At 56.8% G+C, this 25622-nt stretch overlaps 1 protein-coding gene across 17 annotated transcripts, besides 7 other annotated features; it reads left to right on the plus strand.

The window, feature by feature from the left end:
- Positions 132-581: a silencer, noted in NCBI's record as "silent region_13688". NCBI's record gives its function as "represses an Ori minimal core promoter by ATAC-STARR-seq in GM12878 lymphoblastoid cells {active_cell/tissue: GM12878}" and the evidence as "EXISTENCE:reporter gene assay evidence [ECO:0000049][PMID:35858748]".
- On the plus strand, positions 192-24922 carry GGA1 (golgi associated, gamma adaptin ear containing, ARF binding protein 1). 17 transcript variants are annotated; one of them, NM_001172688.2, is made up of 18 exons: positions 398-714; positions 4391-4549; positions 5548-5632; positions 8280-8355; positions 9806-9904; positions 11596-11719; positions 12171-12271; positions 12974-13054; positions 14685-14825; positions 14910-14991; positions 16327-16434; positions 17155-17307; positions 20820-20884; positions 21356-21528; positions 22261-22457; positions 23354-23523; positions 23763-23873; positions 23959-24922. In NM_001172688.2, the coding sequence occupies exons 5-18, from the start codon at positions 9821-9823 to the stop codon at positions 24067-24069; spliced, it is 1701 nt and encodes a 566-aa protein (NP_001166159.1). In that variant the 5' UTR covers positions 398-714; positions 4391-4549; positions 5548-5632; positions 8280-8355; positions 9806-9820; the 3' UTR covers positions 24070-24922. The 17 variants fall into 17 exon arrangements, with proteins under 17 accessions (NP_001350700.1, NP_037497.1, NP_001166158.1 ...); XM_006724229.2 differs by having other exon boundaries at positions 398-512; positions 4382-4549; NM_001363771.2 differs by lacking the exons at positions 398-714; positions 4391-4549 and adding an exon at positions 192-261 and having other exon boundaries at positions 8280-8406.
- Positions 576-1197: an enhancer, noted in NCBI's record as "H3K27ac-H3K4me1 hESC enhancer chr22:38005225-38005846 (GRCh37/hg19 assembly coordinates)". NCBI's record gives its function as "activates a minimal SCP1, AML or CMV promoter by ChIP-STARR-seq in naive H9 embryonic stem cells {active_cell/tissue: H9 hESC(naive)}" and the evidence as "EXISTENCE:reporter gene assay evidence [ECO:0000049][PMID:30033119]".
- Positions 912-1021: an enhancer, noted in NCBI's record as "active region_18980". NCBI's record gives its function as "activates an Ori minimal core promoter by ATAC-STARR-seq in GM12878 lymphoblastoid cells {active_cell/tissue: GM12878}" and the evidence as "EXISTENCE:reporter gene assay evidence [ECO:0000049][PMID:35858748]".
- Positions 24096-24155: an enhancer, noted in NCBI's record as "active region_18981". NCBI's record gives its function as "activates an Ori minimal core promoter by ATAC-STARR-seq in GM12878 lymphoblastoid cells {active_cell/tissue: GM12878}" and the evidence as "EXISTENCE:reporter gene assay evidence [ECO:0000049][PMID:35858748]".
- Positions 24336-24395: an enhancer, noted in NCBI's record as "active region_18982". NCBI's record gives its function as "activates an Ori minimal core promoter by ATAC-STARR-seq in GM12878 lymphoblastoid cells {active_cell/tissue: GM12878}" and the evidence as "EXISTENCE:reporter gene assay evidence [ECO:0000049][PMID:35858748]".
- Positions 24662-25535: an enhancer, noted in NCBI's record as "H3K27ac-H3K4me1 hESC enhancer chr22:38029311-38030184 (GRCh37/hg19 assembly coordinates)". NCBI's record gives its function as "activates a minimal SCP1, AML or CMV promoter by ChIP-STARR-seq in naive H9 embryonic stem cells {active_cell/tissue: H9 hESC(naive)}" and the evidence as "EXISTENCE:reporter gene assay evidence [ECO:0000049][PMID:30033119]".
- Positions 24756-24915: an enhancer, noted in NCBI's record as "active region_18983". NCBI's record gives its function as "activates an Ori minimal core promoter by ATAC-STARR-seq in GM12878 lymphoblastoid cells {active_cell/tissue: GM12878}" and the evidence as "EXISTENCE:reporter gene assay evidence [ECO:0000049][PMID:35858748]".

Here is a 25622-nt window from a genome sequence, read left to right on the forward strand (position 1 = left end):
GAAAAGCAGGCGGCCGGTCCCAGCTGCGACGTAGACGCCGCGTGGGGGTGGGGTTGGGCGAGTAGGTGACGCTCTAGGCGAGCTCGTTGGCCTCTCTATGGTGCCGAGCGCGCCCGTTCGGACGTTGCCCCTTTAATCGGCAGAGGGCGGTGCCCAGGAGGTCCCGCGAGAGCTGCGGGGGGCGGGGGGGCGGTGCCGAGGCTGGGGGCCGGTGGCGGATGGAGCCCGCGATGGAGCCGGAGACTCTGGAGGCGCGAATCAGTGAGTGTCCGGGAGGGGCGCGGGCCGGACCGGAACCGGAACCGGGGGCACGAGGCGGGCCCCTTCCCGGCGGGGGCGGGGTACGGGTCGCCCCCTCCTCACGCCCCGCCCCCGGCCCGGGAGGGGCGGTGTCCTCAGTCGGCCCCTCAGACCCTGGAGCGATGGAGGACCCCGGCCCCGGCGCGGTCCAGCGGTGGGAGCGGGCGCCGCCCACCTGTCGGATCCCTGGGCCATGACCCCTGGGACGGCGAGTGAGCTGCGCCGGGAACCCCCGGGACGGAGAGAGCAGCCTCCAACCCCCAAGGCTCACATTGCTTCACGGAGTAGCGGCCCGGGGAAGGAGCACGCGAGCGGTTCCCCGGGGTTGCATCTCACACCCGGGAGGGAGGGACCCTACTATTTTCAGGCCCCGAATCCTCCACTCTCTGGCCCTGCATGGCGTTCCTGGAGCCCGCAAGTAGTCACATTTGCTCATTACCCCGTCCTGGAAGGGAGGACCCACTGCCCCATTTGATTCCTCCCGCCGCTCCTAGTCTCTAGCCACATAGTGAGAAACCCCCGCACCCTACAGGCTTGGGAGAGTCTTAGACTCCAGAAGTATTAATAATTCCAAGCTCCCTGTCACTCCCTTCAGCCTAACCCCTCAGTCTCCAAGATGCCTTTCCCAGCTCTTGCTGAACTTCCTTCAAAGGCTTCTACACCCCTTTTTTTCTTGTTTCTCCTCAGACGTAGCTTCCTATTGCTTAGGCTTCCTAGCCCGCAAACCCTCCACCTGAGCTCCTTAACCCACAGCCCTGATGATCCCCTGCTCTCACAGCCCCGCTCCTGGACTCTGCCTCTGAAAGCCGTGGCTGGCTTCTCCCTGGTCTAGTGAGGGTTCTCTCCCAAGGCTTTAACTGCTGTTGGGACCCCGTCGTTGCCAGGGCCTCAGGGAACCCTCTTGGACCCGGGCACACCGGCAACTGTCTAGCGTGGTTTGGGGTCATGGCCGGCCCCTTTTAAGCCAGGCTTGAGCAGAGTTGAACCATGAGGTTGGCCCCAGAACCAAACCTCTAGGGATGTTTCAGAGTCATCCTAGCCACCAGAGGGGCAGGGGGTGGAAAAGGGGCACTCAGCAGCCCTTGACCGTTGTGAACGCCGGAAGTGTCCGCCTGGGTCTCAGCAGCAACTGGGCTGGGGGGATGGGTGGGCCCCTGGCTAACTGATCTCAGACACAGGTCTTGAGCTGTGGGTCATACAAAACATTCTCAGGTTTAGAAACAGTGGGGGTTTTCTGAGAGTCCAGAGAGTCTAAAACCAGGCAGAAGTTAGAGATACCTGGGTTTGGCTGGGCCCTGACACACTGGGGCTGGGATTTTCTCCTTTCCTTCCCCCTTTGTGTCCTAGCAGAATTGTAAGATCTTTCCTCTTCCCTTGTGGAGGCTGGAGGTAAAGGATAGCTTCTTCTTTTTTTTTTTGAGACGGGTTTTCACTCTTGTCACCCAGGCTGGAGTGCAGTGGCACAATCTCAGCTCTCTGCAACCTCCACCTCCCGGGTTCAAGTGATTCTCCTGTCTCAGCCTCCCGAGTAGCTGGAATTACAGGTGCGCCACCACGCCCAGCTATTTTTGTATTTTTAGTACAGGTGGGCTTTCACCATGTTGGCCAGGCTGATCTCGAACTCCTGACCTCAGGTGATCCGCCTATATAGGCCTCTCAAAGTGTTGGGATTACAGGCGTTAGCCACTCATCCGCCCACGTCGGCCTCTCAAAGTGTTGGGATTACAGGCGTGAGCCACCGCGCCCGGCCTAGTGAGGTAAATGATGTTATTGTCAGCACTATAGAGTGGCAGGGTGGAGTCTTACCCTGTTGTGAAACACCTCCCTCCCTCTCTAGGTGTTCTCCCCAACTGCCTGCTAGGGAGGGTACTCCCCTCAGGTAGAATTAAGAGGGCTGAGGGTCAGGGGCCATGGGCCAAGGAGGTCAGTCAGATCTCCTTGGATCTGGAGGCCCTGGCTTTCAGCCAGAGGCAGGGGGAGAAAGATGATGTCTCATGATGCCAGCGCTTCCTCTTCACTGGCGTCTGACCCAGGAGCAGTCCAGAATCAGCTTCTCTGACCTCACTCCAACTCACGTGTCTTTGACACTTTAAGGGACTTCCTGTTTTAGGGTCTTCTGGCTGGGTGTCATTGAATGGGCAGTGATTCTCTAACTTTAGACTGATGTTCCCCAGCCTTTGTTTGGGGACTCGGAGGCAGAGTAGACAGTTACCCTTACCCCTGGGTTGGGGAGGGTCATATTCCTGGTATCCCCAGGAGGTCAACAGGGGCTTCATTTTTCTGAGGGACTAGAGGGTCTTGTGGAGCTCCTGGGACAGAGATCTAGATCCAGAGAGAACATTCGTCCTTCCGATCTCAGCTCAGCTCTGAGAGCCCTCCCAGAGAGCAGCTCCCGAGGGCTCCAGAGCCCTCCGAAAGCCCTCCCAGAGAGCAGCCCCCACCTCCCAGGCTGTCTGCACTTCTCCTTGCTATGCTTTGCTCTGTAACATTTTGCAACAGTCTGCAGTACACGGGGTTTGTTAATCTGAGTATTCATTGTTTCTCTTGCTGGGCAGTGAACTTGAGGAGGGCAGGGATTTTGTCTGTTCACTGCTGGAGCCCCAGCACCCAGAATACTTAAATCTGAGTTGGATGAATGGCGGCCAGCCACTGGGATTCCAGGGCTTTGGGCCCCCTGCCATAACATATGGCCCAGGGCAGGCGCCACATGCTGGGTCAGTCCCCAGCCTCCTGTCCACAGATCCTTCTCTGTTCTACCTCCTGGGCTGTGTCCTTCCACACCCTCAGCTCGGTGCTCAGGCGTGGGCAGAACTGGCTGGGAAGGGGTGGTCCTTAGAGGTGGGCTGTGGAGAAATGAAGATCGAGCTCTGGCTGCCGCCATGGCCTTCCCATGCAAAAAGTATTTTGTCATCCAAAATCAATATTTTGGTCAGGCACAGTGGCTCATGCCTGTAATCCCAGCACTTTGGGTGGCCGAGGTGGGTGGATCATTTGAGGTCAGGAGTTTGAGACCAGCCTGACCAACATGGTGAAATTCCATCTCTACCAAAAATACAAAAAAATTAGCTGGGCATGGTGGTGGACGCCTGTGATCCCAGCTACTCTCAGGAGGCTGAAGCAGGAGAATCGTTTGAACCCAGGAAGCTGAGATTGCAGTGAGCCGAGATCTCGCCACTGCACTCCAGCCTGGGCAACAAAGCAAGACTCTTTCTCAAAAAAAAATAAAAATAAAAAAATACAGGCCGGACGCAGTGGCTCACACCTGTAATTCCAGTACTTTGGGAGGCCGAGGCAGGTGGATCACGAGGTTAGGAGATCAAGACCATCCTGGCTAACACAGTGAAACCCCGTCTCTACTAAAAATACAAAAAAAAAAAAAATTAGCCGGGCGTGGTGGCGGGCACCTGTAGTCCCAGCTACTCGGGAGGCTGAGGCAGGAGAATGGCGTGAACCTGGGAGGCAGAGTTTGCAGTCAGCCGAGATCACACCACTGCACTCCAGCCTGGGCGATAGAGCGAGACTCCGTCTCAAAAAAAAAAAAAAATACAGCCGGGCACGGTGGCTCACACCTGTAATCCCAGCACTTTGGGAGGCCAAGGTGGGCGGATCACAAGGTCAGGAGATTGAGACCATCCTGGCTAACATGGTGAAACCCTGTCTCTACTAAAAATACAAAAAAAAATTAGCCGGGCGTGGTGGCGGGTGCCTGTAGTCCCAGCTACTCGGGAGGCTGAGGAAGGAGAATGGCATGAACCTGGGAGGCGGAGCTTGCAGTGAGCCGAGATCGTGCCACTGCACTCCAGCCTGGGCAACAGCGTGAGACTCGTCTCAAAAAAAAAAAAAAATCCATATTTCATTCCAGCTTTACAAGATGGGGAAATGGAGGTTCAGGGAAGCATGTAAGCTAGATTGTTGTTTAACCAGTATTGGGGGTTAAAGGGGTAGCTGTCTGGTCGTGTTTACACCACTTCATGTAGACCTGTTGGCCCTCTTTCCTTGCCACTATCCATTTCTGGATTCAGTCTTCCCCAGAACCTCACCCTTTGCCTGCCCTCAGCTGACTGCTCATTCATTTGCCAAGGGGAGACAGGTGTGGACATGAGTGGCTGGGATGCAGTGCCGTAGCAGGCTGGGGGACACAAAAGAGAACTGACCCAGCACTGCTACCCTGGGCAGGAGTAGAGGATTAGAGAAGGGGACACCGGAGCCACTCCCAAGGGAATGAAGGCTTTCTGAACCTGGTGTGATGGTAAGACTCACACTCCTTACTGAGGCCCCTCATTCTCTGCCTCGTGTGGTTACCCGCATCTTTCCTGCCCATACAGCCATGCGTGGGTCAGAGGTGTACCAGCTCCAGCCTGGGTGACTCCTCCTGGTCCCTGCTTGTGTGTTGCCTCTTCCAGGCAGCCTCCTCAGCCCCAAACTGAACTGAGTCCCCTCCTCTGTGTTTCTTTTTTGTTTGTTTGAGACGGAGTCACCCAGAGTCCCAGCTCTGTCACCCAGGCTGGAGGGCAGTGGCGAGACCTCGGCTCACTCCAAGCTCCGCCTCCCGGGTTCACGCCATTCTCCTGCCTCAGCCTCCCAAGTAGCTGGGACTACAGGCACCCACCACCAAGCCCGGCTAATTTTTGTATTTTTAGTAGAGATGGGGTTTCATCGTGTTAGCTAGGATGGTCTTGATCTCCTGACCTCGTGATCCACCCACCTCAGCCTCCCAAAGTGCTGGGATTACAGGCATGAGCCACCGTGCCTGGCCCCTCCTCTGTGTTTCTACAGCTCCTTGGCTTCCCTCTGTCACACGTTATTGAGAACCTAGCTTCCCTTGGCCCACTTCCCGGCTACACAGCTCCTTGAGGGCGGGACTATGATTTTTTTCTCCCTTACTTCTGGATCTCCTCTGAGCATAAATTTCATGAGAATTATGGAGACACTGTTCTCAGCAGAATCAGAGGAGGTGGGGCTGGCGTGATGGGTCCAGCTGCAGGGGTGGGAGGAGTGGGGAGGAGGGGAAGGGCCCTGACCATAGTCTCTAAAAGTGGGGCCCTTTGGAGGGCAGCTGTGCTCATCTGTCTGTCTACACCCACAATCAGGTCTTGAGGCTGTCTGGGCAGGAAGGCAGGGGGAGAGCTTTCCCACGTGCTCAGTCACACTCCTCTCCCACTCCTGACCACACCTTTGCCAGGGTCAGGAGTGGAAGAGCAGGAATCCCACTGCCGGGCCACAATGACCCCAGCTCTCCTCTTCCAGATAGAGCCACGAACCCCCTGAACAAGGAGCTCGACTGGGCCAGCATCAACGGCTTCTGCGAGCAGCTCAACGAGGACTTTGAGGGGTAGGTGGCCGTCCCCACTTGTTTGCACTGCCCTGCACTCTCCAGAACCCAGTCTCGGGTACAATGGCCTGGGTGGGTGGAGACCCGGTTTTCATTCTGAACGTATTCACAAAGTGATGAGGATGGGGCACTTGGCACTGAATGCTGTTTGGGTGTCACTCTCTGGGGTGGGCCTTGCTGGAACCATTTAACAGGTAAAGAAATCAAGGCTCAGAGGACTCAGATCTGCCCCCACATCTCACAGGGAGAAAATGCTAGTCCTGAGCTTGGTAAGACCCAGGCCTGCTGGACCTGCAGCCAGTGCTTTGTGGGGAAAGGCCCCCCAGAGGGAGAACTGCATGTTCCCCAATTGGGAGGAGGCCAGTAGGCCCTTTGCTCAAGGACGAACCAGAACTACCTGTGTTAGAATCACCTAGAATGTTGGCCAGGCACAGTGGCTCATGCCTGTAATCCCAGCACTTTGGAAGGCCGAAGTGGGTGGATTACCTGAGGTCAGGAGTTTGAGACCAGCGTGGCCAACATGGTGACACCCCGTCTCTACTAAAAATGCAAAAATTAGCTGGGCGTGGTGGCACGTGCCTGTAATCCCAGCTACTCAGGAGGCTGAGGCAGGAGAATTGCTTGAACCCAAGAGACAGAGATTGTAATGAGCCGAGATTGCGCCACTGCCCTGCAGCCTGGGCAGCAGAGTGAGACTCTGTCTCGAAAAACAAAACAAAGAATTACCTAGAATGCTTGTCAGAAATGTACATTCTTAGCCAGGCATGGTGGTGCACACCTGTAATCTCAGTTACTGGGGAGGCCAAGGCGGGAGGATCCCTTGAGGCTAGCCTGGGCAACATAGCGGGGCAACATAGCGAGACATCATCTCTTAAAAAATAAAAAAATAGGCCAGGCATGGTGGCTCACGCCTGTAATCCCAGCACTTTGGGAGGCCAAGGCAGGTGGATCACCTGAGGTTGGGAGTTCAAGACCAGCCTTACCAACATAGAGAAATCCCATCTCTACTAAAAATACAAAAAAAATTAGCCGGGCATGGTGGTGCATGCCTGTAATCCCAGCTACTCGGGAGGCTGAGGCAGGAGAATTGCTTGAACCCAGGAGGTAGAAGTTGCAGTGAGCCAAGATCGTGCCATTGCACTCCAGCCTGGGCGACGGAGTGAAACTCCGTCTCAAAAAATAAGTAAATAAATAAATAATAAAAAATAAGGCCGGGTGTGGTGGCTTACGTCTATAATCCCAGCACTCTGGGAGGCTGAGGCAGGTGGATCACGAGGCCAACAGATTGAGACCATCCTGGCCAACATGGTGAAACCCCATCTCTACTAAAAATGCAAAAATTAGCAAGGAGCGGTGGTGTGCGCCTGTAGTCCCAGCTACTCGGGAGGCTGAGGCAGGAGAATCGCTTGAACCCGGGAGGCTGAGGTTGCAGTGAGCCAAGATTGCATTACTGCACTCCAGCATGGTGACGGTGAGACTCCATCTCAAAAAAATAAATAAAGTAAATGCACCTTCTTGGGCTGCCCCCAGACTCGACTGTCCAGTGGGGGGTTGGGAGTGGACATTCTTTTTATTTTTTTTTTTGAGATGGAGTCTCGCTCTGTCGCCCAGGCTGGAGTGCATTGGCACGATCTCGGCTCACTGCAAGCTCCGCCTCCCAGGTTCACGCGGTTCTCCTGCCTCAGCCTCCCCAGCAGCTGGGACTACAGGCGCCTGCCACCACACCCGGCTAATTTTTTTGTATTTTTTAGTAGAGACAGGGTTTCACCGTGTTAGCCAGGATGGTCTCGATCTCCTGACCTCATGATCCACCTGCCTCGGCCTCCCAAAGTGCTGGGATTACAGGCATGAGCCACCGTGCCCAGCTGGGAGTGGACATTCTTAGTGGGCTCCCCAGGCGATACTAAAGTTTCGGGACCACAAACAGCGGTGTGTGTGCTTTGGAGTCGTGCTGCTTGGGTACGAGTCCTGTCCCCTCTCTTAGCTGAGTAACCTTGGGTGAGTGGTTGCCTCTGAGTGTCAGTTTCTTCACAGTTGAAGGAACTTCCCACGGTGAGGCGGGAATGACCGTGCTGCCTGCCTTATGCAGCTTAGGCAGGAAAGTGCATGTGAGCCTCCTCACACATGACCAGTTCAGCACATGTGAGCTCTTACCGTCACTGGTGACGGGTCTTTTACAGTCTGTTAGATGATGTCACCACCTCCACCATGAAGCTGCTCTGATTTGCCACAGCAGAACGTCCTTTGCCACCTTGAGTTCCCAGGGAACTGTGTCTGCCCGTCTCTCATGGCATATTGTAATTGTCTCTATGGCAAGCCAAGCCAAGGACGTGACACATCAGAGTTCTTAGGCCAGCCCAGGAGCTGAGCTCATACCTTTTGAAGGTCCCTGCCTGCAGTCTCTGTCTGGCCCTGCCCTGCCACAATCTCAGGCCATAACTGATCTGGAGAGGGAGCTGGGCCTTTGCATATGCCTGCAGAAACCTTAGAGGGCTGAAGTCTCGGCGGCGGGCTGGGGTGGTGACCCTCCCCTAGGGCGACCAGGGCCCCTTGGAGGAGGGCTGCAGTCCCAGCGGCCTGGGGTCGTGGCCCTAGGGTGACCGGGACTCCGTGGCGACTCTGGCTCTGTGTTGTTCCTCCCACCCAGGCCTCCACTCGCCACCCGGCTGCTGGCCCACAAGATCCAGTCCCCACAGGAGTGGGAGGCGATCCAGGCCTTGACGGTGAGAAGGGGAGAGGCCACCATCCGTCCCCCGCCATGTGACGACACCAAGGGAGGCCAAGACTGAGGTTCTTGGGGTCCATAAGGCTCTTCAGAGCCCAAGAGAGTTGTGCTAAGATGGCCCAGGATGGAGGTCCGGGCCTGCCCCAAGGGTCCCACCACAGCCAGCGGGCTGGCCTCCCACCCCAGCATCCATACACGTAGGCCTGTTGCTGAGGGAAGGCCCTCTAGGGTCATCTGGTCCAGGGGTTCTTTGCTTCAGCTGCACATCGGCTGCCTCTCCAGGAAGCGTGTTCAACACATGGAATCAGGGCTCCACCCAGACCTGCCGAGGCCACACTCCTGGAGTATCTGCATCCAGAGATCTGCACGTTTGTAAAGCTAAGGGGTGGTGCTTGGGCTCAGGCCTGAGGTTTTGCATCTGTTCAATAGCAGAGGAGAGAGGGGTGTACTGTCTGTGGCCCCCAGCATGGGCCACATACCAACCCACCATGGAGCAAAGCTGATTTTAAGTGGTGGTAGAGATACAGTTTCTCTTTTAATACTTACGTGTTTAGTTGGGTGCAGTGGCTTATACCTGTAATTTCAGCACTTGGGGAGGCCAAGGCAGGAGGCTTGCTTGAGGCAAGGAGTTCAAGGCTACAGTGAGCTATGATTGTGCCACTGTACTCCAGACTGGACAACAGAGTGAGACCCCATCTCTAAATAATAATCATTATTGTTACATATTTGTTTTAACATTTTTTTCTCAAGTATAACTAGTCCTATGATTTCATAGATGTAGCTTAGGATAAGGCCAAGGTAGGTGTTGCCTATATAAGGTTTTTTTAAAAAAGGAAAAATAGGCCGGGCTGGTGGCTCACGCCTGTAATCCCAGCACTTTGGCAGGCTGAGGCGGGCAGATCACCTGAGATCAGGAGTTCAAGATCAGCCTGACCAACATGGAGAAGCCCCATGTCTACTAAAAATAAAAAATTAGCGAGGCGTGGTGGGCGGGCGCCTGTAATCCCAGCTACTTGGGAGGCTGAGGCAGAAGAATCATTTGAACCCAGGAGGCAGAGGTTACAGTGAGCCGAGATCGTGCTACTGCATTCCAACCTGGGCAACAAGAGTGAAACTCTGTCTCAAAAAAAAAAAAAAAAAGGAAAAATAGTAAGAAAATAATGTACAGTTGGTACTCAGATGTGGGGCCTAAGCTATGAATGGGACTAGAGCATTGCTACAGGTTGGGCATTGCTGGGCACTGTATGTAGGTCGCCTGACCCTATCTCCCATGGGAGTGATGACCAGTCCCAGAGGCCTGTGTGACTCTGAATCTTCCAACCTCACAGGCCATTCCCTCCCTTCTGAAAGCCCACCCATGGGCTTCTGGCCCCTGTCCAAGGCGTGGGAGGGAGGCCACGGCCTCTGATGCACCTGGGCGTCCCCTCCCATCCCCCCTCCCTGCACAGGTGCTGGAAACATGCATGAAGAGCTGCGGCAAGCGGTTCCACGACGAAGTGGGCAAGTTCCGCTTTCTCAACGAGCTCATCAAGGTCGTGTCTCCCAAGGTTGGTGCCCCCAGCCCAAGCTCAGACCTGCCCTGTCGGATGTGGGGAGAGGAAAGAGGACCTTCAGATTGTGGAGCGACTTTTCCAGGGAGCCTCCCACTGGGGTGTCACCTCAGCCCCCCATTAGAACTCAGACCTAGGAAAAACACAGATCTCTTCTCACAGTCCTCTCATACCTGATTCTGGGACAGCCTGGGGTCTCGGAGGAGTGTTTCCAGGCTGGCCAGGGGCGGGGCAGCCATGGAGCTGCCCGGTGCTTAGGAAGAAATGATTCCAGGGAATACATAAGCTGACAGATGGCTGTATGTGTCAGCCATCTCTGGCCTGAAATCACTCCCTGTGGACCTGGCCACAGAACCCTACCTGGTCTCTGGCAGGTTTCCCTGTCCCCACCACACAAGAGCAACCTCCCTGGACCTCAGCATCCAAGGCCACAGACCTGAGTGATGGAGCCTGCTGGCTCCAGACGGGCCATCCCCGGCTCAGCCCAAGGAGTCTTCCCACAGACCATGAACGTTTCTTTTTCTTTATTTTTTTGAGATGGAGTCTTGCTCTGTCACCCAGGCTGGAGTGCAATGGCATGATCTCTACGCTCCACAACCTCCACCTCCTGGGTTCAAGCAATTCTCCTGCCTCAACCTCCCAAGTAGCTGGGATTGCAGGTGCACGCCACCATGCCCGGCTAATTTTTTGTATTTTTAGTAGAGATGGGGTTTCACCATGTTGGCCAGGCTGGTCTTGAACTCCTGACCTCATGATCTGCCTGTCGTGGACTCCCAAAGTGCCGGGATTACAGGCGTGAGCCACCATGCCCGGCCTACCTACCGTGAACATTTTTTTTTTTTTTTTGACAAGGAGTTTCACTCTTGTCACCCAAGCTGGAGTGCAATGGCGCGATCTCAGCTCACTGCACCCTCCACCTCCCAGGTTTGAGCAATTCTCCTGCCTCATCCTCCAGAGTAGCTGCAATTATAGGTGCCCACCACCAAGCCTGGCTAATTTTTTATTTTTAGTAGAGACAGGGTTTCACCATATTGGTCAGGCTGGTCTTGAACTCCTGACCTCATGATCCACCTGCATTGGCCTCCCAAAGTGCTGGGATTACAGGCGTGAGCCATGGCCTCCGGCCTACTGTGAACATTTCTTAAGCTGTTTGAGTGACAGCCCACCCCCTTGGCCCTTCCTTGCTCAGACCCATCCTTTGACCAGAGCTACTGAATAATCCATATGGCCTCCCATTCTCCTCCCAACAGGGGACTCTGCTGTGAGAGCCACTTTCCCCAGCCCAGTTTGCTGCTAGGAGACGGAGAGTAGGCCCAGGGCCTCCCAGTTCCACCCTCACCCCTCCCTGGGCAGCCTGGAGACCTCTGGCTCCTCTTTCCTGGGATGTCAAGGCTAAGTCCCCAGAGCCGACTATGAGCAGGCCTGTCCCTCATGTCAGTTCTGCATCCTCACCATGGTGCCATCTAGCAGGTGGGGAAACAGACACTGAGGGCTGACCCAGCTAATAAGTGGCAGGGGTAGTAGGTGAACTCAGTCTACCCCAGGCTGGTTGGGCGGGGCTATGAGGACCCTGTAGGCTAGAGGGCTTCCCGGGGAGTCCTGGGGAGGCAGTAGGGTGTGGACAGGGCTTGAGACTGAAGTGAGTGGGGCTGGGCAGTATCAAAGGCCTCCCCACTGTGTCCCTGAAGTATCTGGGCTCTCGGACATCGGAGAAGGTGAAGAACAAGATCTTGGAGCTCCTCTACAGCTGGACAGTGGGCCTGCCCGAGGAGGTGAAAATCGCAGAGGCCTACCAGATGCTAAAGAAGCAGGGTGAGGCACACAGAGGGTGGGGGGCGACCAGGGCCTGCCTTCCCCTCCCCCACCATGAGCTGGGGCTCCAGCGGCTTCAGGGGCTTCTGAGCCAGCAAGGTCATGGGTCTGTCCTTTAACTTCTGGAGAAAGTACATACAGCTAGTGCGGCCTTCTGTGCTCTGCCTGAGGCTAGCTTGGGTGGAAAGAAGGTGAGTTCGAATCAAGCTTCCCCTCAAAGAGTGGTCTCCAGGGAGTGGCCTCAAAATATGGGTCCCCAAACCATCTCCCCCAGGCAATTTTGATGGAGTAGGTAGGAGTAGGCCCAGGCCACTAAGAGTCCAGAGCCAGCGTGCTGGCAAAAGACTGACCTCCCTCTTCTGTCCTACCCTTGCCTGCCCCCATCCCCATGTCACCCCTACCCCTGGGCCTGGGACATATTGACAGCCTTTCTGACACTCATCTAATCCAGGGATTGTAAAGTCCGACCCCAAGCTTCCAGATGACACTACCTTTCCCCTTCCTCCTCCACGGCCGAAGAATGTGATCTTTGAAGATGAGGAGAAATCCAAGGTGAGACTCCAAGGAGGCACATATGGGGACTCTGAGCCCAGGTGGGGGTCCGTGGGTTCTGACCTCTAGCTGCCCTGGCATCAGCCGTTGGAACAGAGGCACACACTGAGCCCAGGCATCGTTGTAGATGATGGGCGCTGTTTACTGGGCATTTAATATGTGCTGAGTATGTCCCATACAGCATCCCCACATTTAATAAACAGGAGTGTGTCTGGTGTCCCTGGAGTTTGTTTGAGGGTATTTTGACCTTTTCTATAAGAATTTCACTAATTTTTTGTTAAAAGTTAATAAAATTAAAACTTGTGGGTGAAAAGTTAAACAGCCCAGGAGGAGGTAAGATTAAAATAAAGAGGTTAAAGTAAAAGGTCCCCTCTCCCCAGTCTTAGCCCCAGCCCTGGAGAGTGTCTACTGTTAAGGTTCTTGTACATTGTCCCAGAAAGGTTCTCAGCCATGGGGATATAAGGAGCACCATTTGTTGATTACTTATTTCTGCTAGGCGCTGTGGTGTGCACTTTACATGCAGTGTCTCCGCTGGCCTGTGGCCACCCTATCAGGCATCAGTAAATTCTCACCATTTCACAGAGAGCTTAAGTAACTTACTCAGGTCCCACAGGCAGGAAGCGGGGAGCCATCATGTGACTCCAGTCTTCTGACCCCTGGCCCAGGTGCTGCCCTCACGGTCACACCCCTCTGTCTCTGCAGATGCTGGCCCGCCTGCTGAAGAGCTCCCATCCCGAAGACCTCCGCGCAGCCAATAAGCTCATCAAAGAGATGGTGCAGGAGGTAGCGGCCGAGCCCAGAGCACAGGGAGGAGGCGGGATGGGGGTATTGAGCTGGGCCACTGAGATGGGGCTGTATGCATCTTCACATGGAAGGAGCCCTGCAGTGACCCGGGCTGGCACAGCAGAGAAGCTGATGCTGGGGGACCAGGGTGTGCAGGGAAGAATTCCCGGCAGCCTGGGTGACTTGCTCTGGATGGGCCTTTGGGAGGCTGGCTACCTCTTCGTCAAAAGTTAGAAATGAATTAGGCCTTAGTATATTTTTAAAAATACTAAGTATTTTTAAAATTACTTTTTAGTATTTAAAAATACTAAGTATTTTTAAAATTATTTTTTAGTATTTAAAAATACTAATGAATATATGTAAGTATGTATACGTGTATGTATATGAGGAGACTTTTTTTGAGACAAGGACTCACTCTCTAGCCCAAGCAGGAGTACAGTGGCATGATCATGGCTCATTGCAGCCTCAACCTCCCGGGCTCAAGCAGTCCTCCCACCTCAACCTCCCAGGCCGCTGGCACTAAATACGTGTGCCACCACACCGGTATAGTTTTTGTATTTTTTTTGTGGAGAAGGGGTTTCGCCACATTGCCCAGGCTGGTCTGGAACTCCTGGGCTCAAGCAATCTGCCTGCCTCGGCGTCCCAAAGTGCTGGGATTACAGGCATGAGCCACTGCCTGGCCAAATGTTTAATTTTTAAGTAAATATACATATGTTGCCTGGGTGCCTGCTGAAACTTTTTTTTTTTAATTGAGACAAGATCTCATCCTGGAGTGCAGTGGCACGATCATGGCTCACTGCAGCCTCGACCTCCTGGGCTCAAGCGATCCTCCCACCTCAACCTCCCAAGTAGCTGGGACCAAAGGCACACGCTACAGCGCCCGGCTAATTTTATTTTTTGTAGAGACAGCATCTCCCTTTGTTGCCCAAACTAGTCTGTAACTCCTGGGCTCAATGACCCTCCCATCTCGGCCTCCCAAAGTGCTGAAAAAAAAGTTTCAAAGCTGGATGTGGTGGCTCATGCCTGTAATCCCAGCACTTTGGAGGCCAAGGTGGGAGGACTGTGTGAGGCCACTTTTCACTCTGCAAAGGAGGGGCACGCACAGTAAGCGGAGGGGCAGGGGAAAGCCGGGCTGCTCCCAAAAGCAGCCTTTGAAGGCACGGGCTCCCCCATCTGCCAGGCACCGACAGACACTGGAAGGGTCTTCCTGCTCGTTTCCAGGCTGTACCTGGTGACCACAGAGGTCCCCTTGCACTATGAAGTACAGGAACCTCCTTTGAAAGGGCAAACACAAGGAGGGCAAGAGTCACTGAGAACCACAGTGGAGGTCTAGGGCCCTGGGCCTTCAGAAGCACCTGGTGAGGGGTTTGGAAACCCAGGTTCCTGGGCCATCTCTGAAGATCCTGATGAGCTTGTGCAGAGGCCTGGGCACTGGGGGCTTCTTGGACCAGCGTGCCCTTCCTAGGCATGAGGGGCTCCTGGCAGGGCCTGCTGGAGCCCCACCCAGAGTGTGATCCCACAGTCACCCAGCTGTCAACCCAGATCCCAGCACACATTCTCTCAAGTGGCAGGGGGCAGTGCCTCGTCCAGGCCAAAGGTTCTCAGGGGCCCTTGGCCAATGTGTCCCCAGGACCAGAAGCGGATGGAGAAGATCTCGAAGAGGGTGAATGCCATCGAGGAGGTGAACAACAATGTGAAACTGCTCACGGAGATGGTGATGAGCCACAGCCAGGGCGGCGCAGCAGCTGGCAGCAGCGAGGACCTCATGAAGGTGCACCTGCCTCCCTGCCTACCCCACTCCCTGCCCACTCCACAGCCCACGCGGACCCTGACCCGCCCATCCTGCTGCCCTCAGGAACTGTACCAGCGCTGTGAGCGGATGCGGCCCACGCTCTTCCGACTGGCGAGTGACACAGAGGACAATGATGAGGCCTTAGGTGAGCCCAGGGCAGGTGCTGAGGTCAGGTCCCCCCCTCTCCCTCCACCTCCTGCCCCCACCTCCCCCAGGCCCTGCTAAGTATCTGCAGTTGGAAGGAGCCACCACCAGGGGGCCCCCTTCTCCAGCACCGACCTTGGGTTTCTCCTCTCTGAGGACACAGAGCAGGGGCCGCCCCCCTGTTGAGAGGCCCTGTGGGCCAGCCCCCTTAACAGGCATCTTATTTACTACCCGCAGCTGCACAGGAGGCAGACCCATCCCCTTTTCACAACTGGGGCTAAGGGAGGAAAATGACTTGCCCAGATCACAGAGCAGAACAGTGGCAGAGCCAGGGGAGACGGAGGGCCATCTGCCCCCAGACCTTCCTCCCTAATGAGGGTGAATGGAAGCTAAGAGTGCATCCCACAGCCCAGGCAGTTCCAGACCTGAGCCTGACGGCTTCTGCCAGGGCCACATACCAGGTTCTTTTCCTTGATCTCTGCCCACGTGTCAGCCTGGGCCACTTGGGCTGCGGTCTGGGTACCATCCACTCCCTCATTAAGCAGGAGCCCCACCCACAAGGCTCACTGCCCAGATTGCCCCACACCCTGGCACCTGGGGAAGGCAGTGTTGCCGAGGGCCTGATTGGTGCCAGGCACTGTTCTAGGCCCTCAGGGATCTGGCACTGATCAAAGTTTGCAAAACGCCGGGTGCAGTGGTTCACACCTGTAATCCCAGCATTTTGGGAGGCCAAGGTGGGAGGATTGCTTTAGTCCAGGAGTTCAAGACCAGCCTGGGTAACATAGAGAGACCCAGTCTCTATTTCAAATATATTTATATTAAAAAAAAAAAAAAAAGGTTGACAAAAACTTCCTCATGGTAGTTTAGTGAGAGGAGACAGACAATAACCAAGTCCATGAGCACCGACAGTTCGTCACGGTGGTGAGTGGCATGGAGGAAGAGAAGCAGGGAAGGGATGAGGTGGTGCAGGAGGGATTTAGGACAGGCCTCCCTGAGGTGAGCCTTGGGTGAAGACCTGAAGGCAGTAAGGGATGAAGCCATGCAGAGATCTGGGGCAGCCAGAGAGCAGAGCTGGAGTGGAGGCCTGGAGGCGGGAGCGGGCCCAGTGTGTTGAGACAGCCCAGGCAGTATGGCAGGGAGTGAATGAGGGAAGGGTGGGAGGTGAGACCAGGGAGGTGGCGGAGGGCCAGAGTCTCAGCAGACGAGATGGGCTGTTTCCCTGCCCCTTTCCCTTCCCCTCACACACAGGCTGTGATGGATGTGGGGTCCTCGTCCCCTGCCGCCCAGAGGCCCCCACAGTCCTTCAGCCTGGCCTCTCCCCTCCTGCCTGTTCCAGCGGAGATCCTGCAGGCCAATGACAACCTCACCCAGGTGATCAACCTGTATAAGCAGCTGGTGCGGGGTGAGGAGGTCAACGGTGATGCCACAGCCGGCTCCATCCCTGGTGAGGAGGTGGCAGGAGAGCTGGGAGGGCACCCATCAGGCTGGAGGGGCACAGAGAGTGCAGGGTGGTGTGCTGGTCTCAGAGCGGCTGGAATGACTGCCAGGGTGACCCTGGCCCCTTAAGATGGGGAAGGCCCCAGGGAGGGAGCTGGGGGTGAAGTCTGTGCCAAGCCTGCAGCTGTGGGGGAAGAAGTCTGGTGGGGGAGCTGAGGGTTTGGTGAGGACAGGCAGAAGAAGGAAGGCATTCTTTCATTTGACAAATCTGGCACCTGTTGTATAGGGCTAGATGACACCCCAGAGGCTTTATGTATCAGAAAATGCGAGGGGGGTTAGAAAAGTAAACATTACAGACTCAGGTCTAATAAGGGTAAGATGGCAGCCTTGGGGGGTCACAAAAGGGGTTAGAATTGGTTCTGTTAGGGAGAAGTGGAGATGGAGGCGCTGCACGGAAGCAGCCAAGTTTCAGCAGGGCCTTAAGGATGGGTAGCAGTTTGCCCAGTAGAGCTAAGAAGGAAATACATTCCGGACAGAAGTACCATCATATGCCAAAGAGAGGTCCTGTTGAGCAGTTTCCAGGCAGGGGCTGGTGTGGCCAAGGAAGGGGAGGCAGGAGACCAGTGGTAAAGCATCGGGGGTTAGGTGTTGCTCCCCCGCAACCCCTGTGGACTCTGAGAGACACGTGTACACCCAGGACTTGCCAGCCTCTTCTTTCCCACCCCAGGGAGCACCTCGGCCCTGCTGGATCTCTCAGGCCTGGATCTCCCGCCTGCGGGCACCACCTACCCAGCTATGCCCACCCGCCCTGGCGAGCAGGCCAGCCCTGAGCAGCCCAGTGCCTCAGTTTCCCTGCTTGACGACGAGCTCATGTCTCTGGGTGAGGAAGGGGCCAGGCCTGGAGGAGGGCGGGCTCAGCAGCAGATGGGGCATGATCCCAGGGCCCACTCACAGCTAGCGGAACCACGTACCCCAGGTGTGGATCCTGTGGGGCACGTGGATGAGCATTAGGCCCACTTCACAACTGAGGAAACTGAGGCTCGGGGAAGTTAGGAGCTTGTGCGAGGCCACACGGCCAGAGGGTGAGGCTGGCAACCTCTAAGCCGGCCTCGGATAAGCTAACCAGCATTCAGGCTCTGGCAGCCTGGGGGGAAACCAGGGGATTTCCCCGCAACAGGTTAGAGCCTGGAATTGAGAACTGTCTGGGCAAAAGTTCAGCAGTTTCTTCATCCACCAAGAGGAGAGGGAGGGCTCTGGGCTCCAGAGCACCCAGAGGCTCCAGAGAAGCCGAGGCCAGAGCGCGAGGGACTCGGTGATCCAAGCTGGTCCAGGGCCAGGCCTGCTGTTACTCCCGGGCAGGCTCCGGCTCCAGAGCCCAGCAGGGGCCAGGCTTCCCCGGGGGGAAGCAGCAAAGCGTTCCCAGCTGCCCAAACCATTTTTGGGTTTCCAACTGCTCTCAGGGCAGCAGCCCCATCCGAGAGCTGAGATCAGAACAGCCTCCTCCTGAGAGCCACTGAAGGGATGAAGAGCAGATACGTTAGGGCCACATCAAAGGAATCCTCAGGGATATGTTGGAAGCCAAGATTCAGACTGTGGTTTCCTGAGCCAGTTCTGAAGCAAAAACCAGACCCGAAGGCCTTGAAGAAGTGATGGGGACCCGGGGCGCCCTGGGCGGGGTCTGCCTGGGTTCCAGGAGTGCTTCCTTTGGTGGTGCCCACTACTGCACTCTGTCCTGTCTTAGGTGACCCTCACGGTCTCTGCAGGCAGGTGCCGTTAATAGCCCCACTGCACAATGAGGAAACGGCAGCACAGAAAGGCGCGGTGGCTCACGCCTGGAATCCCAGCACTTTGGGAGGCCAAGGCAGAGGGATTACTTGAGGTCAGGAGTTTGAAACTAGCCTGGCCAACATGGCGAAACCCCATGTCTATTAAAAATACAAAATTAGCTGGGCGTGGTGGCACATGCCTGTAGTCCCAGCTACTGGGGAGGCTGATGCAGGAAAATTGCTTGAACTGGGGAAGCAGAGGTTGCGGTGAGCCGAGATGGCACCACTGCACTCCAGCCTGGTTGACAGAGCAAGGCTCCGTCTCACAAAAAAAAGAAAAAGAAAAGGAAAAAGAAAGGCTGGGTGACTTGTGCAGAAAGGGCTCTAGGACTTGAGCTGGGCTCTGATCCTGAAGCCACACTCTGAGCAGCTGGGCTGCTCTGACTCGTTGTTCATAAGCAAGGAAAAGGAAATGAGGACCCGGAGTGTGGAGGGAGAGCTGAAGGGGAAGGAGAGCTGAGGGGAAAGGAGGCCCAGTTGTGAGCTCCCTTTGTGAACCCAGCAGCCAGCACCCTCCCTGAAGCTGCTTACGAGCCCCATGCAGCCGCCCCCTCTTCATTCAGAGCCAAGGGTGACCGCAGGGAGAGGACCTTTACCCCATTCTACAGAGAAGTAAAGGACGGTCAAGGGACAGGAACGTTCATACAAGGTTTATCTTCCCCTGTGGAGCCAGCCCTGGGTGGCAGCTACCTGAGGGGCAGTGGGTGGGGAAGTACTGCAGGGCCACCAGCCCCCAGCCAGCAGCTGCAGCACCACCTCCACAAGAGAAGCGAGATGCAGCCGCACTTCCTGTCCCCGCACTGCACTGGCATAGTTCTGAGCCACCAGCTTCCTTCTGTTTTCCTCTCAGAGGCAAAGCATGGGGGCACAGGAGCCGGAAGTGCCAGGGCAGCCTGCAGCCTGGGCCTGGGGAATGGAGGAGGCCCTGGGGCCACACAGGGGGCTGGTCCTCACTCTTCACGGCAGGGGTGGGAGACAGGTTCCTGTCCCTCAAGGAGGGTGTTCAGGCAGCCTTAACCTCCCCCGTCTCAAGTGATCCTCCCATCTCAGGCTCCTGAGTAGTTGGGACTACAGGTGTGTGCCACCACACCCGGTTAATTAGTTTATTTTTAGTAGACACACGGTTTCACCTGTGTTGGCCAGGCCGGTATTGAACTCCTGGCCTCAAGTGATCCACCCACCCCAGCTTCCTAAAATGCTGGGATGACAGGCATGAGCCACTGCGCCCACCTCTTTTTGGTTTTGAGATGGGGGTCTCACTATATTGCTCAGGCTGGTCTCAAACTTCTGGCTTCAACTAATCCTCCCATCTCAGCCTCCCAAGTAGATGGGACCACAGGCATTGGCTAATTTTTTTTCCTTTTATTCTTTAGGGGTAGAGTCTCTATGCTGCCAGGGCTTATCTCAAACCCCAGCTTCAGCCTCCCAAATAGCTGGGATTACAGACATTAGCCACTGCACCTGGCTGGTGTCTCCATTTTACAGATGAGGCTGTCACCCCCCAATATCACACAGCCAAGTGGCAGAGTTGTGTTCAAATGCTGGCAGTCAGGCCATGCTCTGTCTGAGTCCAGACTCTGCCACTTTCTAGCTGTGTGTTCTCGGGCAGGTTATTTACCAACTTTGAGTCCATTTTCTTATCCCTAAAAGAGGGCTGAGAAGCTCACCCCTACCTTTGAAGGTTGTTTGAGGATTAAGCAAGACCAGCATCTGAAGGGCCTGAAGCATCTAGGGCATCATCAGTGCACTTTATCTCTGGCCTCTAAGAAGTGCATCTAGAAGGGACCCACTGTCACAGCTTCCTGGTACCCTTGCCTTTGCCTGTCAGGTAGCACTTCGGTTTGGACCTCACTTTTTCAGGATTTGTTGGAAACAAGATCCCTTATCTTCTCTAGGTCAGATTTGGGGTGAACTTGGCTGACAGTATTCCAGGGCAGGCAGAGGTCAGGCTGGCTGGTGACCTGCTGCCTCCTTCCCATCGGCAGCTAGTTCTAGGGCCATCCACAGGGATCCCCAGCCCTCCATAGTACCAGTGAGCCTCACTGGCATGTGCCAGGGCCAAGAGGGCCTTCAGCGTCGCCTCCAGTCCAGCCCTGTCCTCGTATTCTTGGGGACACTGTGGCTCAGCCAGCACAGTGCCTAGCCCACAGTCACCCAGCAGGCGTCCCTCGAGTGGGCCAGTGGCAGGCACAGAGCTGCTCTCCCCTTGCCTGGATGCGTGAGGAAAGGAACCTCTTCTCCCTGCAGCCCAGCCCTGCAGGCTCTCTGCTGCCAGATGACGAGTGAAGATGAAAGTCCTGATGTCTATTGTCTGTGTGCACAGAGCTTTGGAGTGGCCTGGCCAGGAAGAGGGGAAGCGTGTGTGGGGTCAGCACAAGGGGTTGCCGGGATCTTGGTTACTGGTTCTGCTCTGCTGCTGGTTCCCTCTGAAAATGTGGGTTTCTCCCCTCCGTGCTGAGCCTCAGAAAGGGGTAGGGAGCCCCATGCCAGCACACATGGCCCCTCGGCTCTCTGGCCTCTGCAGGGTCAGCCCAGCTCCTTCACCTCTCTCCTGCTTTCCCCTCAGGCCTCAGTGACCCCACACCCCCTTCAGGCCCAAGCCTGGATGGTACCGGATGGAACAGCTTCCAGGTAGGAGGGGACCACAAACTAGTCTGGCCTGTCCCAGTCCCAGGGTCAGGGCAGCTGGGACAAGTGGCCTGGAGAAACTAAAAGGATGGATGGGCTCTACTCAAGAGCCCAGGGCCAGGGGGTGGCCCAGGGGCCTGGAGACACCCACCCAGGGTACAGGGCCTCCCCTTACCTCCAGCTGTATCTTCCCCAAGTCTCAGCCTTGGGGCTGCAGCCCAGCCTTTGGGATTGGGATTGAGATGGGCAATCCCTCTTCCTTTCCCTTGAGGGTGACAGAGGTCCCTGGATTGTAGAACCCCCAACCAGACCCAGCCACCCTGCATCATGGACATGGGTGGTCTGGGGTCCCCACCTCTGTGGCTGCTTTCCCAGATGTCATTTGCAAGGAGGACACTGAGCCTCAGGGCAGGATCAGGTGATGCTGACACCTCTCTAGACAGCCCCACCCCACCTGCATCCTTTTCCCCACAGTCGTCGGATGCCACTGAGCCCCCAGCCCCTGCTCTGGCCCAGGCCCCCAGTATGGAAAGCCGACCCCCAGCGCAGACATCCCTGCCAGCAAGCAGCGGTCTGGACGACCTAGACCTCCTGGGGAAGACCCTCCTGCAGCAGTCGCTGCCCCCGGAATCCCAGCAAGTGCGGTGGTGAGGGCCCACCATGGCTGGCATGGGGTGGGGAGCACTCCCTGTTCCCACAAACCAGCAACTTCTCCTGGGCTTGTCCAGGCCCAGCAGGGAGAGGCTCGTTGCTGTCTTGTTTTGTAAGCAGCAGATGCCAAGCAGTGCACCTGCCTCTGGAAACACAACAGTGCCCAAGGCAGACCTGGGCCCACTGGCCTGGCCTCCCCCCAGGTGTTCCCAGCTCCCTTGAGAAAGGTCCAGAGGGCCGGCAGAGGGGAGGACACTGGGCTGGAGTGAATAGGTGGGGTGCAGGGTGGAGGGAGAACACGAGCTGCTCCTTCTAAAGGTAAGACCCAAGGCCAGAGAGATAGCCACACGTGCCAGCCTTTCCTGTGCCCCTGATCTCTCCATCACCAAAGAATCACTTTTTCTTTTTTTGAGAGGGAGTCTCACCCTGTCACCCAGGCTGGAGTACAGTGGCATGATCTCGGCTCACTGCAACCTCCATCTCCCAAACTCAAGCGATTCTCCTACGTCAGGCTCCTGAGTAGCTGGGACCACAGGTGTGCGCTACCACGCCCAGCTAGTTTTTTGTATTTTTTATACAGACCGGGTTTCGCCATGTTGCCCAGGCTGGTCTCAAACTCCTGAGCTCAAGCGATCTGCCCGCCTCAGCCTCCCAAAGTGTTGGAATTACAGGGGTGAGCTACCACGCTGGCCAAGAATCACTTCTTAATGCACTGTCCCCCGATTAAGGGAGAAGCAGCAGCCAACCCCCCGGCTCACACTCCGGGACCTGCAGAATAAGAGCAGCAGCTGCAGCTCCCCCAGCTCCAGCGCCACCAGCCTTCTCCACACCGTGTCCCCAGAGCCCCCCAGGCCTCCGCAGCAGCCCGTACCAACCGAGCTCTCACTGGCCAGCATCACTGTGCCCCTGGAGTCCATCAAACCCAGTGAGTAGGGCTGGGGCAGGTGCAGGCTGGGTTGGGTCAGCTTGCTGCCCTGTCAGGAGCTCTGTCTGGGGAAGCTAGTGGGAAAGCAGGGCTCCCCTGGCTCTGCCACTGGCCAACCAGAGGGGAGCTCTGAACAAGGCCCTCCCCTTCCCAGGAGTCAGTTTCCTTATCTGCCCCAGAGCAATCAGAGGACTGCTGTACAAACTCCAGGCTTATATAAGCAAGAAGACCTCTAGGGAGTAGGCTCTGGGCCCCTTCCATCCCCAGGAAGGCAGGGCCCAGGACACAGAGAGGTTTGGGGTCTCCCCCAGATTACAGAACTGAACCATGATAAAGACCCAGATCCAAGGCTGGGTTTTTCCAGCCCAGGAGCAGTAAGGGGACCATGGCCCAGCCCCGGGCCCCAAGCAGACACATGAGGCCTGGTGGTCCTCAGCATTGCCCTCTATGAGCTCCCTGTGACCAAAGACACTACCCCCACAGTGTCTCCCAGCAGTGGGCAGAGCTGCCCCTCTCACCAGTAGGAGAACCCTGAGCTCAGAGAAGGGGAGTGACTGCCGCAAGGTCACACAGCGTGAGACTCACCCTCACCAAGTCCCTCACCCCAGCACTCCAGGCAGCAGCCACACAGCATCGGGGGAAGCTGGGCTGTGACTCGGCTCTGGGGTGGGTGTCCTGCCTCCACTATCAGACTGGGGGTTCACCTGCCCTCTCTGGGCACCGCTCTGTGCCCCTGCCTGCACTGCCACCCAGGGTCCAGGTAAGGCCCCAAAGGAGGACTTTGCTCTTGTTGCCAGTACAGCAGCCAGCTCCTGAGGCCAGCCGGGTGGGGGCTGGGGGCTGAGCGGATGTGCTGCAGCTCAGCTGTCCCATCGCCCTCCCACCTTCTCCCACAGGCAACATCCTGCCCGTGACTGTGTATGACCAGCACGGCTTCCGCATCCTCTTCCATTTTGCCCGGGACCCACTGCCAGGGCGCTCCGACGTGCTGGTGGTGGTGGTTTCCATGCTGAGCACCGCCCCCCAGCCCATCCGCAACATCGTGTTCCAGTCAGCTGTCCCCAAGGTGACAAGCCAGTCGGACAGGGCATGCCTCCCTCCTCTCAAGGCAGGGTGACATGGAGCTGGGTGGGGAGCCACCTGTCAGGGGGCAGGTCTCCCTCCCTTGCTGGGTGGTTGGTGTAGAAGGGACCAGAAGGACTGAGCCCCAGGATCCCCGGAGGGGAGCTGGCAGGCTGGGCCTGGTTCCTCAGAGCAGGACAAGCAGCCAGGGCTAGCTGTGCCCATCCTGCCATCTGCCCACAGGTTATGAAGGTGAAGCTGCAGCCACCCTCGGGCACGGAGCTGCCAGCTTTTAACCCCATCGTCCACCCCTCAGCAATCACCCAGGTCCTGCTGCTTGCCAACCCCCAGAAGGTAAGGGGCCCCCAGGCAGTGCTGCAGGGTGGGGACGGCCACTTCTCCTCCTCTGACCCCTCTGCCTTTGCCATCTCTTCCCCAGGAGAAGGTTCGCCTCCGCTACAAGCTCACCTTCACCATGGGTGACCAGACCTACAACGAGATGGGGGATGTGGACCAGTTCCCCCCACCTGAAACCTGGGGTAGCCTCTAGAACAGAGGGGCTGGGGAGAGGAAGGGGCAGAGGGACCGGTCACTGTCCAGCCTGGAGGGAGGCATTGGTGGCCAAGGACACCCTTTGTTGCCCATGGCCATTCACCCCCAGGCCTGGTGCTTCTCCCCACACCCCTGTAGGCCTCAAGTGACTCTTCCCCCTCCTGCTCCGGCCCCGCCCCTGCTGAGCCAAACCCAGTAGGAGGCTGGGCCTGGGTTTGTGCCGCTGGGGTCTCCATCACCGGGACCTGGAGAGGGAGGGGCTGTGTAGCCTTGGAAGAACTTGGGTCATGGGGAGGAAGCACAGCTGTTGGGGAAGGGCCAGGACCTCAGGCCCAGCCCCAACCCCAGCTGGGGTGGGGTCTTCCCCACCTGTCTCTTATGCCTTATGGGAAGGCCCAGCCATAACTCGGGGGCCATGCTGGAGCTGGGGACCAGCTTAGGCCTCCTCCATAGGAACCCAGTGACTGGGGGGTGACGCCTACACCCCCAGCTATTTGCACTCTGGTGTGTGGTTTGACTCTGCTTTTCTTCCGGATTGGCCCTGTGGTCACAGCCTCAGGGGGCCAGGCTGGGGGAACCTCACCTGGCCCGTACTCCTGGGGGTTTCCCTTTGCCATTGGGCCCCCTGAGGGACTGTGGGGGCTCAAGGGTAATGCCAGAGGCCCATGGCCCCAGCGAGGGGCTGTGGGGCACCTAGAGTTCTCGGTGTGTCTCCTTCATTCATTGGCCTCTGCTGGGGCCTCCTATGGGTGTCTTACGTCTGTCCATCCATCTGTCCGTGGTCAGAAGTGGGGTCAGTGTGTGAGTGAGAGCAGGAGTATTTATGAAAATAAAACGTCGTTTTTCCTGGACCAGCTGCTCTCGTGGCCCTTTGGAGGTTGAGGGAGATGGGAGGGGTTGAGTCCATGTTCCCTAGGGCTGCCCTGTAGACCTCTCCACTTCCGTCTTTGGAGGTCAGGCCGTGGGCCCCCTCCCCACCACCCCCCGGGCCCTGCACCGGAAAAGGCCCTGCAAAGGGGCCTGTGGCCAGTGCTGAGTCACCAGAGAGGGCGCTGGGCTGTGGCGGACCAGGACCGTCCCAGCTGGAAGTGGGCGACCGCCAGGGCCTGGCAGGAGCCCCAGCTGCTACAGACACCGAGGGGGAGGCCCCTGGCTGCTCACGACTTCCTCCTGCTGTGCTCAGCCCTCCACACAACCTCGATGCTGCAGCACCCCAGAGGGAAGTCCAAGCCCAGCTTCTCCCTCCCCCCAGACATCACTCCCTTGCCCAGCACCAATCGCAGTTTGTTTGGGAGCAGACCCAGGGACCCTGAGCTGGGCCCCTGCCACTCGCAGCGGCAGCTCTCCCCCACACAGTGCTATCAGTTTTCTCCAACCAGGAGGCTGGGGTCCAAGCTTGGGCGTGGCTTCGAGGCCACACAGCTGGGAGCGAGGGGGCGCTGGTCCAGGCAGATGGGCCCTGTTGTGTGGGAGGCCAGCCCTGCGTGTGGCTCTGCAGGAAAGTGTTCCCTGCTCAGATGAGTCCAGGGAGGCTGCGCACGGTTTCTCCTG

This window comes from Homo sapiens, chromosome 22 (assembly GCF_000001405.40).
Source record: "Homo sapiens chromosome 22, GRCh38.p14 Primary Assembly".
Classification (NCBI taxonomy): Eukaryota; Metazoa; Chordata; class Mammalia; order Primates; family Hominidae; genus Homo; species Homo sapiens.

Excerpts from the sequence above, each read along its gene's own strand:
- GGA1 (NM_001363771.2), top strand. The coding sequence starts at position 219 with ATGGAGCCCGCGATGGAGCCGGAGACTCTGGAGGCGCGAATCA. Across the intron at positions 262-5,547 it reads GACTCTGGAGGCGCGAATCA|ATAGAGCCACGAACCCCCTG; the intron begins GTGAGTGTCCGG and ends CTCCTCTTCCAG. Across the intron at positions 16,435-17,154 it reads CACAGCCGGCTCCATCCCTG|GGAGCACCTCGGCCCTGCTG; the intron begins GTGAGGAGGTGG and ends TTCCCACCCCAG.